This window comes from Homo sapiens, chromosome 15 (assembly GCF_000001405.40).
Source record: "Homo sapiens chromosome 15, GRCh38.p14 Primary Assembly".
NCBI lineage: Eukaryota > Metazoa > Chordata > Mammalia > Primates > Hominidae > Homo > Homo sapiens.
In genome coordinates, this window is record NC_000015.10 from 88969228 (window position 1) to 88981306 (window position 12079).

The window sequence follows — 12079 nt, forward strand, 5'->3', positions numbered from 1 at the left end:
AAGGGAATCACTTGAAACTGGGGAGGCAGAGATTGCAGTGAGCCAAGATTGCACCACTGTACTCCAGCCTGGGTGTCAGAGTGAGACTCCATCTCAAAACAAAACAAAACAAAAATATGTATTCTTCGGTTGTTGGGGGAAATGATCCATAAATGTCTGTTAGATCCATTTGGTCTCTGGTGCAGTTTATTTTTCTATTTATTATTTATTTATTCATTTATTTATTTGAGACAGGATTTTGCTGTCACCCAGGCGGGAATGCAGTGGAGTGATCTCAGTTCACTGCAACCTCTGCCTCCCGAGCTCAAGCAATTCTCCAGCCTCAGCCTCCCAAGTAGCTGGGACTACAGGTGTGAACCACCAATGCCAAGTTAATTTTTGTGTATTTTCTAAAGACAGTTGCTCAGGCTGGTCTTGAACTCCTGAACTCAAAGAGTTCCACCTGCCTCGGCCTCCCAAAGTGCTGGGATTACAGGTGTAAGCCACCATGCCTGGTCCCTATGATGTAGTTTAAGTCCAATGTTTCTTTGTTGATTTTCCATCTAGATGATCTGTCCGATGCTGACAGTGGCGTATTGAAGTCCTCAACTGTCATTGTACTGATGTCTATCTCTCCCTGTAAGTCTAATAATATTTGCTTTACATATCTGGGTGTTCTGGTGTTCGGTGCATATATATTTACAACTATTATAGTCTGTTGCTGAATTGATCCCTTTATTATTATATAATGTTCTTCTTTGTATCTTTTTACAGCTTTTGACTTGAAATCTGTTTTGTCTGATATAAGTATAGCTACTCCTGTTTGCTTGTGGTTTCCATTTGCATGGAATATCTTTTTTTATTCCTTTACTTTCAACCTATGTGTGTCTTTACAGGTGAGGTGAGTTTGTTGTAGGTAGCATATAGTTGGGTCTTGTCTTTTTTATCCTTTCAGACAGTCTATATCTTTTAAATTGAGAATTGATTTTGTTTACATTCAGGGTTAGGTTATTATTGATAGATAAGGACTTACTCTTCTCATTTTATTTATTGTTTTCTGGTTGTTTTATATATCCTTTGTTCCTTACTTCCTCTCATATTGTTTATTTTTATGGTTGGGTGGTTTTCTGTAACAGTAAGATTTTAGTCCATTCTCTTTCTCTTTTCTATATCAGCCTTACCAATGAGTTTTGTAGTTTCATACGCATCATGGTGGTTGTTACCTTTTCACTTCCAGATGCAAGACTCTCTTGAGTATCTCTTTTGAGGTCAGTCTAGTGGTGATGAATCCCCTTAGTTTTTGCTTGTCTGTGAAAGATTTTATTTCTCCTTCATTTCTGAAGGATAGCTAATCTGAGTATAATATTCTTGGCTGGCAGGTTTTTGTTCTTTCAGTACTTTGAATATATCATCCCATTCTCTCCCAGCCTGTAAGGTTTCTACTAAGAAATCCACTGTTAGTCTAATGGCGGTTGCCTTATATGTGACTTGATGCTTTTCTCTTGCTGCTTGTAGAATTCTGTCTTTGTCTTTGACTTTTGGTAATTTTACTATACTGTGCCACAGAGAGGACCTGTTTGGATTGAATCTATTTAGGGTTCTTTGAGCTTCCTGTACCTGGATGTTCATCTCTCTCTCAAGACTTGAGAAATTTTTAGCTAGTATTTCAAAATAAAGCTAAAATAGCCGCCGAGCCGCACCCACCCAGAACTCGCGCTGGCCCGCGAGTGCCACGTGCAGCCCCAGTTCCTGCCCACACCTCTCCCTCACACCTCCCCACAAGCAGAGAGAGCCGGCTCCGGCCTCGGCCAGCCCAGAGAGGGGCTCCCAGAGTGCAGCAGCGGGCTGAAGGGCTCCTCAAGCGTGGCCAGAGCGGACGCCGAGGCCAAGGAGGTGCTGAGAGGGAGCGAGGGCTGCTAGCACATTGTCACATCTCAGCACCACTGCACTCCATCCTGGGCGACAGAGCGAGACTCCATCTCAAAAAAAAAAAAAGAAGAAGAAGGGCCCTGTATTAGTCCACTTTCACACTACTGATAAAGATATATCCAAGACTGGGCAATTTACAAAAGAAAGAGGTTTACTGGACTTACAGTTCCACATGGCTGAGAAGGCCTCACAATCATGGTGGAAGGCAAGGAGAAGCAAGTCACATCTTAGATGGATGGCAGCAGGCAAAAAAGGAGCTTGTCAGGGCAACTCCCATTTTAAAAACCATCAGATCTCATGAGATCCATTCACTATCACGAGAACAGCACTGGAAAGACCCATCCCCATAATTCAGTCATCTCCCACCGGGTCCCTCCCACAACATGTGGGACTCATGGAAGCTATAAGATGAAATTTGGATGGCCGGGTACAGTGGCTCATGCCTGTAATCCTAGCAATTTGGGAGGCCGAGGTGGGTGGATTGCCTGAGCTCAGGAGTCTGAGACCAGCCTGGGCAACACGGTGAAACCCCATCTCTACTAAAATACAAAAAAAAAAAAAAGAAATTAACCAGGCGTGGCAGTCTGGGCCTGTAGTCCCAGCTACTTGGGAGGCTGAGGCAGGAAAATTGCTAGAACCCCGGAGGCGAAGGTTGTGATGAGCCGAGATCATGCCACTGCACTCCAGCCTGGGCAACAGAGCAAGACTTCATCTCAAAAAAAAAAAAAAAAAAAAAAAAAAAAAAATGAAATTTGGGTGGGAACAAAGAGCCAAACCATATCAGGCCCTATGAGCTGGTGAAACTTAAACTGGTCCTTGAAGCAGAGAAAAAAGAAGAGGGTCTTCCAAGGGGGAGGATCAGTAATAGCCAAGGCAGGAGGCAGGTATGAGTTCCGTATGTTTAGAGTCCTAGTTCAGCTAGAGCAGAAAGACTTGCCTGAGGTCATGATGGGAGAAGAGGCTGAAAGGCTGAAAGCTCAAGGGGCCTTAAGGTCCTGGCAATGGGAAGCCATGAGTCATGCCTTGGTAGGATGGCTTGGGAAGGACCAGAGAGGGAAGCAGGATGCCAGCTTGGAAACTAACCAAGCAATGAGAATGTGGTAACCTGGGCTCATCAAAATACTCAAACACAATGTACTCTAAATACAAAACAATTTTTTTTTTTTTTTGAGACGGAGTCTTGCTCTGTCACCCAGGCTGGAGTGCAGTGGCGCAATCCCTGCTCACTGCAAACTCAGCCTCCCAGGTTCGCAGCATTCTCCTGCCTCAGCCTCCCAAGTAGCTGGGACCACAGGCGCCCACCACCACGCCCGGCTAATTTTTTGTGTTTTAGTAGAGACGGAGTTTCACCGTGTTAGCCAGGATGGTCTCGATCTCCTGACCTCGTGTTCTGCCCACCTCGGCCTCCCAAAGTGCTGGGATTACAGGTGTGAGCCACCGCGCCCGGCCTCTAAATACAAAAATTTAACTGAGCATGGTAGTGTGCACCTGTAGTCCTAGCTACTCAGGAGGCTGAGGCACAAGAATCCCTTGAACCCGAGCGGCAGAAGTTGCATTGAGCTGAGATTGAGCCACTGCACTCCAGCCTGGGTGACAGAGCAACACCCCATCTCAATAAATTAAAAAAAAAAAAAAAAAGTGAGAAAGCACTCCACAGGGTGGGAGTGGGCTGGAGCAAGTGGCTGAAGGGCCCAGTTACAAAGTTTTCTGGGTGTTAAATACTCCATTTGAGGTCCCTGTCAGCTACTCCTGATCTGGATGAAGGATTTGGCCTGTGGCTAATTAAAGGCTGAGGTGAACTGGCGCCCCTTGCAGATGAAGGGATGGCCCGTGCTTGGCCTGCTGCCAATTCAAGGCACTCTCTCTTTCCATCTGAGACGTGGTGGAAGGGGGAGGGGTGTAGGGAGAGTAGCCTTTGACCCTTTGCTACTCAGGTGGTGGTTGGGGGCGGGGGTGGGGTTCCTTTTGGTTCAGCTGTAGGAAGTTGGTGTTAACTGCATTTAGGGTCCCTGCCCCAGACCCAGGTGTTTTTCCCTTTTGATGCAGCTTTAGGAAATTATCGTGAATTGGTCTCAGATTCCCTGCCCCCAGACCTTGTGTTTTCCCTCGATTCAGCTTTAGGAAGTCAGCACCAACTGGCCTTAAGTTGCCTGCTTCCAGACCCTATTCTCCTGCCTCAGTGGGGGAGGTTTCTCATGACTGATATAGTGTCATCCCCTTGGTACTGCCCTCATGATAGTGAGTGAGTTCCCGCGAGATCTGGCCATTTGCGTGGCACTCCCTCATCTCTCTCTTGCTCCAGCTCTGCCCATGTGACCTGCCTACTGCCTCTTCACCTTCCACCAAGATAGTAAGTTTCCTGAGGCCTCCCTGGAAGCAGAGCAGATGCTAGCACATTGTTTCCTGTACAGCCTATAGAACCAAGACCCAATTAAAGCTCTTTTCTGGCCGGGCACAGTGGCTCACTCCTGTAATCCCAGCACTTTGGGAGGCTGAGGCGGGCAGATCACAAGGTCAGCAGTTCGAGACCAGCCTGGCGAACATGGTGAAACCCCCGTCTGTAAAATACTAAAAATACAAAAATTAGCCAGGCATGGTGGCAGGCGCCTGTAACTCCAGCTACTCCGGAGGCTGAGGCAGGAGAATTGCTTGAACCCAGGTTGCAGTGAGCCAAGATCACACCATTGCACTCCAGCCTGGGCGACAGAGCGAGACTCTGTCTCAAAACATAAAATAAAATAAAAATAAATAAATAAAGCTCTTTTCTTTATAAATTACCCAGTCTCAGGTATTTCTTTTGAGCAATGCAAGAATGGCCTAATACATGAACATTCAAAATCCTCCCTTCTAGCTTTATGAAAATATTAAATATATATATATATAGTTGGCTGGGCACAGTGGCTCACACCTGTAATCCCAGCATTTTGGGAGGCCAAGGCAGGTGGATCACGAGGTCAGGAGATCAAGACCATCCTGGCTACCACAGTGAAACCCCATCTCTACTAAAAATACAAAAATTAGCTCGGCATGGTGGCACGTGCCTGTAGTCCCAGCTACTCAGGAGGCTGAGGCAGGAGAATCGCTTGAACCCAGAAGGCAGAGGTTGAAGTGAGCCGAGATCACGCCACTGCACTCCAGCCTGGGTGATAGAGCAAGATTCCGTCTCAAAAAAATAAATTAAATAAATAAATAAATAGATAGATAGATAGATATAGTTAATCATATTCACCCTATAGGGCTGCAGAAAACCAGAACTCATTGCTCCTATCTAGCGGTAATTTTGTATCCATTAACCAACCTCTCACCGTCTGCCCTGTAGGAAAACAGCCTGTTGCTTGGCAAGAAGGATACCATTTTGAAGTGAAACTGCCATAATGAGTAATGTTTGACTTCTGCTTCTGCAGCAAGGTCTTTAAACAATGTACATAGCATAGATTACCCCTCACAAAGAAGCAATGCCTATAACATAGATAACCCCTCATAAGAATGTTTAACCTCCTCCTCAGTGGTTACAAATTTCGCAAGAAAGTCTGAAGCATGACCAGCAGCATGCTTTATCAAGAAAGCTTGCTTTATAAAGGATATTTTTCAGCCAGGCACAGTGGCTCACGGCTGTAATCCCAGCACTTTGAGAGGCTGAGGTAGGAGGATTGCTTGAGCCCAAGAGTTTGAGACCAGCCTTGGCAACATGGTGAGACCTCATCTCTACATTTAAAAAAAATTAGCTGGGCATGGTGGCACACACCTGTGGTCTCAGCTACTCAGGAGGCTGAGGTGGGAGGATCATTTGAGCTTGAGAGGTCATGGCTGCATTGAGCAGTGATCACACCGTTGCACTCCTGGGCAACAGAGCAAGACTCTCAAAACAAAAAACAAACAAACAAACAAACAAAAATATATATATATATATATATATATTTTTTTTTTTTTTTTCTGGAAGGCAGGTGTGGGGATCCACCCTCTCTTGTCTGCCCAAAACAAAACATCGTATCTGTTTGTAACAACATCCTCCAGGCTCACTCATATGGCCACAAATGACAGGATGTCATTCTTTTTTATGACTGAATGGCATTCTACTATGAATATATACCACATTTGCTTTATCCATTAATCTGTTGTTGGAAACCTATGGTGACTCCATATCTGAGCTATTGTGAATAGTGCTGCAATAAATATGAGGGTGCAGGTGTCTCTTCAATATACTGACTTCCTTTCCCTTAGATAAATGCCCAGCACTGGGATTGCTGGATCATATGATAATTCCATTTTCAGATTTTGAGGAAACCCCCATACTGTTTTTTATAGTGGCTATAATAATTTACATTTCCACCAACCATCTATAAGAGTTCCCTTTTCTCAGAATTCTCACAGCATTTATTTTTTGTCTTTTAGTAATAGCCATTTAACTGGGGTGGGATAACGTCTCATTGTGATTTTGATTTGCATTTTTTTGGTAATTAGTGTTGTTGAGCATTTTTTCACATATCTGTTGGCCATTTGTATGTCTTCTTTTGAGAAATGTCTATCCATGTTCTTTTTTGAGCCCCACTCTGTTGCCCAGGCTGGAGTGTGCAGTGGTGCAATCTTGGGTCACTGCAGTCTCAACCTCCCGGGCTCAAGCCATCCTTCCACCTCAGCCTCCCTAGTAGCTGAGCCTACAGTGTGTACCACCACTCCTGGCTAATTTTTGTATTTTTTGTAGAGACAGGGTTTCACCATGTTGCCCAGGCTGGTCTTGAACTCCTGCTTAAGCAGTTCTTCCACCTGAGCCTCCCAAAGTGCTGAGATTACAGGCATGAGCCACCACACCTGACTTTTTGCCCACTTTTTGATGGGATTTGGTTTTTCACTGTTGAGTTGTTTGAATTCCTTGTATATTCTGCATATTAGTCCCCTGTGGGATGAACAGCTGGCAATTTTCTCCCATTCAACAGGTTGTCTCTTCACTCTGCTGATTGTTTCCTTTGCTGAGCAGAAGCTTTTTAGTCTAATACAGACTCAATTCTCTACTTTTGTTTTTGTAGCCTGTGCTTTTGGAGTCTTTGCCATGAAATTTTTGCCTAGAGCAATGTTCTGAAGCATTTCCCTTGTTTTCTTCTGGTAGCTTTAGAGTTCCAAGTCTTATATTTAAGTGTTTCATCCATTTTGAGTTGGTTTTGCATGTGGTGATAGGCATCTAGTTTCATTTTTCTCGTATGTATATTCAGTTTTCCAGCACCATTGGTTGAAGAGGGTATCCTTTCCCCAATGTTTGTCCTCTCAAAAGTCAGTTGGGTCTAAATATATGGATTTATTTCTAGGTTGCCTATTCAGTACAGAAGCATTTAAGAAGGAAAGAACCAATATCCAAATCCTTCACTCAGAAAGAGCCACAATAGTCATTTTGCTGTGTATGTCTTTCCAACTTTTATCCTATCCATGTGGTTTTAACAAAGTTAAAAATTATGACTTGTATAATAGGCAGCCTTCTAAAATGGCTTTCATTCATCCCATCTTCTAGTACTCACACTTTTTTATAATTCCTTCACCTTGAGTGTGGGCTGAACCTTAGTTAGTGACTTGCTTCTAACAAATAGAATACAGCAAAAGTGTCAATGTCAATTTCAAGATTAGGTCATAAAAGACTGAATTGCATCGTGCCAGCATTTTCTCTCTTTGGCTCTTCTCACATGCCTGCCCTGATAGAGGCGGCTGCCTGGTCAGATGAGGGAAGCCTCATTCCAACAGCCTCAAGGAACTAAATCCAGACAAAATCTATGAGACTGAGCTTGGGAGCAGATACTGCACCAGTCAAGTCTTCAGATGGGAACACAGCCCTGGGCAATACTTTGATTGTAACCTCATGACAAACTCTGAAGAAAAGAACCCAGCCTAGGCTGACCCATGCACTCTGAAATAATAAATGTGTGTTGTTTTAAGCCCTACATTTTGTAATGATTTGTTACACAGCAACTGGTAAAACATGCATATAATTTTATAGATGATTTTCAAAGCCTAACAACATAACATAAGCACTCTGCCAGGTTATTATACCTCTCTGTAAACTTTGTTTGCTTGTTGTCTAATACTTCATCCATGATTTGCTTAACCATTGTGCTATTGCTGAACATATGAATTGTTTTCCAGTTTTCACTGCATGGTTAACACTATTATGCATAAAGCATTGTCTTTAAGATGATTTCTTCAGACCAGGCATCCATAAGAATTATTAGGTCAAAGAGTATGACCCCAAAAAGTTTATCATGAATTATGATAAACTTACCACCCTATCTTTTTAGGGTACAATTCATTCTCTTTTATTTTATTTTATTTTATTTTATTTTTTTTGAGACGGAGTTTCGCTGTTGTCGCCCAGGCTGGAATGCAATGGCTCCATCTCAGCTCACTGCAACCTCCGCCTCCTGGATTCAAGAGATTCTCCTGCCTCAGCCTCCTGAGTAGTTGGGATTACAGACATGCACCACCACACCCGACTAATTTTGTATTTTTAGTAGAGACAGGGTTTCTCCATTTTGGTCAGGCTGGTCTCGAACTCCTGAACTCAGGTGATCTGCCTGTCTCGGCCTCCCAAAGGGCTGGGATTACAGGCGTGAGCCACCACACCTGGTCCATTCTCTTTTATTTTTATGTATTGATTTATTTATTTGAGACAAGAGTCTTGCTCTGCCACCCAGGTGAGGGTGCAGTGGCACCATCACAGCTCACTGCAGCCTGGACCTACCAGGCTTATGCAATCTCCCCACCTCAGCCTCCTGAGTAGCTGGGACTACAAGTGCACACCACCATGCTCAGCTAATTTTTTTTTTTTTTTTTCTGTAGAGACAGGGTCTCCCTATGTTGTCTAGGCTGGTCTTGAACTCCTGGTCTCAAGTGATCCTGCCACCTTGGTCTCCCAAAGTATTGGGATTACAGGCATGAGCCACGGCACCCGACCTCTCATTCTCCTTTAAATCCTAATTATATGAACCAAATTACCTGACAAAGCTCTCACAGAGGCAGGCTGAGAGCCAAGGATTTGGTTGGGATTAGAAAGTAAGATCTTAAAGAAGCCATAAAGCAGAGGTTCAGGCTCAAGTTGCCTTTTATGAGGCTCAGGGTGCATCTTCTAGTTTCTGTTTACTACAAACTCAAACAGGATGCCTCAGCAAACCAGTTCTCATTGTTTCTTATGGTTCCCATCAATTAGCTGTGAGAGCTTGGGCAAGTTATTAATACTTAACCACTCCGTGCCTCGATGTCCTCATATATAAAAGTGGAGGATGAAAATAATACCTACATAATAGCGTGTTGTGAAAATTAACTATTTAAAATATGTAAAGTGCTTCCTATGTGTGTGGCACATAGTGAATGCTATATATGTGTTATTCCCGTTTTCAGAGAAGGGTAATTTGCTGATGAAAAGTTGGGCAGACCTGGCTTTCAATTCCCTCTCCACTGATTCTGAGCTGTGTGACCTTGGACAAAAAAACTTAGATTCTTCTAAACTAATTTTCTCCATCCTCAAATCAGGCCATGAAGCTAATGAAGCTTAAGCTTTGGGACTACTTACTTGCTAAGGCTCTCTACCTAATTTTGTATTATAACTGTATCACTGCAATTTAATCTTTTAAAGAAAGTCCTCTGAATTTTTTTTTTTTAAGAGAGTCTCATTCTGTCACCCAGGCTGGAGTGCAGTGGCGTGATCATAGCTCACACTATGATCGAACTCCTAGGCTCAAGTGATCCTCCCATCTCAGCCTCCCAAATTTAGCTAGGAGTACAGGCATGCACCACCACGCCTGGCTAATTTTTTATTTTTTGTAGAGACGGGGGTCTCACTGTGTTGCCCAGGCTGATCTAGAACTCCTAGGCTCAAGTGATCCTACAGCCTTGGCCTCTCAAAGTGCTGAGATTACAGGCATAAGCCACCATGCCTGGCCGTCTCTATTTTATAAGCTTCATAAAACCTGGATCCATCCCTAAGAAGGGGGTAAAATAACAGTACAGTCAGGCCAGGTGCAGTGGCTCACACCTGTAATCCCAAAATTTGAGAGGCTGAGGCGGGTGGATCACTTGAACTCGGGAGCTTGAGACCAGCCTGGGCAAAATGACAAAGCCCTGTCTCTACAAAAAAATACAAAAAACAAAATTAGCTGGGCATGGTGGTGCACACCTGTAGTCCAAGCTACTTGTGGGGGGCTGAGGCAAGAGGATCACTTGAGCCCAGGAGGTCGAGGCGGCAGTGAGCCATGTTTGTGCAACTGCATTCCAGGCTGGGTGACAAAGTGAGACCCTGTTTCAACAACAATAATAATAATAATAATAATAATAATAGTACATCATGTGTCACAAACAGCATTTCAGTAAACAATGGATTGCATATATGACAGTGGTCCCATAAGATTATAATGGGGCCAGGTGCGGTGGGTCCCTCCTGTAATCCCAGCATTTTGGGAGGTCGAGGCAGGTGGATCACCTGAGGTCGGGAGTTCGAGACCAGCCTGACCAATATGGAAAAACCCCATCTCTACTAAATGCGGGGGTCTGTCCTGCAGACCCTGACCCAACAATGGATGAATAATGTACATTGACATATAGATATTCTGCTTTGCCAATCCGGCTGAGTGTCCGTGCCACTTACAGACACCAAGGAAGGTTCTGTACAGAGTCAGCAGCCATGGCCTCGACTTATCAGCGAGACTTGCATTCAGTAAGGATTAATTGAGAAAGGTCGTGAGTAAACACACCTGTGGGTAAGTAATTAACCTGGTCGCCCCCACCCTGGAGGGAGCTACCACGCACCGGTGAATGATCAAAGGTTGGTCTTAAGACCACATGAATAAACAAGCTAGTTAGATAAACTACTCTACCTTCCTTTGTACCCACTTTAAGCTATTTACTCAAGGTAAGAATTAGGTTGCCTTCAGCCATAACCTTATCCTGAGACTTTTGCAAAAACCTTCAGGCCTTCCAAGAAGGTTTGTGGCTTATAATTTTCCCCACCAACCTGACTGAACCCCCACAACTAAAAATACAAAATTAGCTGGGCATGGTGGTGCATGCCTGTAATCCCAGCTACTCAGGAGGCTGAGACACGAGAATCGCTTGAACCTGGGTTGCGGTGAGCCAAGAGTGCACCATTGCACTCCAGCCTGGGCAACAAGAGCAAAATTCCGTCTCAAAAAAAAAAAATTATAATGGAACTTAAAATTCCTATCACCTAGTGACATTATAGCTGCTGACATTATTCACATGTTGAGGGTGATAGCACAACATATTACTTGTATGTTTGGGGTGATGCTGGTGTAAACAAACCCACTGTGCTGTAGTCATACAAACATGTATAGTAATGTCCTAGGCCTTCATATTCACTCACTGTTTACTGATGAACTCACTCAGAGCAACTTCTAGTCCTGCAAACTCCATTCATGGTAAGTGCCCTATATACATGTACCATATGTATACCATACCATTTTTTTCTTTTCTTTTTTGAGATGGGGTCTTGCTGTGTTGCCCAGGCTGATCTCAAACTCCTAGTCTCAAGTGATCATCCTTCCTCAGCCTCCCAAGAAGCTAGGACTACAGGTACATGCCATCAGGCCTGGCTAATTTTTTTTAAAAATTTTAGGGACGGGGTCTCACTATGTTGCCCAGGCTAATCTTGAACTCCTGGCCTCGAGCATTCCTTCTGCCTTGGCCTCCCAAAGCACTAGGATTACAGTCAGGAGCCATCACGCCGGGCCCATTTTTAATCTTTTTTACAGTATTTTTACTGTACCTTTTCTATGTTTAGACATGTTTAGATACACAAAACTTACCATTGTGTTACAATTGCCTACAGTATTCAGTACAGTAACATGCTATACAGGTTTGTAGCCTAGGAGCAATAGGTTACACCATATAGCCTAGGTGTGTAGTAGGCCATGCCATCTACGTTTGTGTAGGACACTCTATGATGTTCTCACAACAAAGAAATCACCTAATGATGCATTTCAAAGAGCATATCCCTGTTGTTAAGTGATGCATGATCATGCTTATCACACAGAGTAACTATAAAGATTAAAAGAGATAATATATTTAATGATTTAAAATAGTGCCTGAGTTGGGCATGATGGCTCATGCCTGTAATCCCAACACTTTGAGAGGCTGAGGTGGGAGGATTGCTTGAGCCCAGGAGTTCAAGACCAGTCCT

General features: G+C 43.8%; 1 annotated feature.

Annotated features, from left to right (window-relative positions):
- Positions 6798–6998: a silencer, noted in NCBI's record as "peak2418 fragment used in MPRA reporter construct". NCBI's record gives its function as "represses an SCP1 promoter by STARR-seq MPRAs in K562 erythroleukemia cells {active_cell/tissue: K562}" and the evidence as "EXISTENCE:reporter gene assay evidence [ECO:0000049][PMID:32103011]".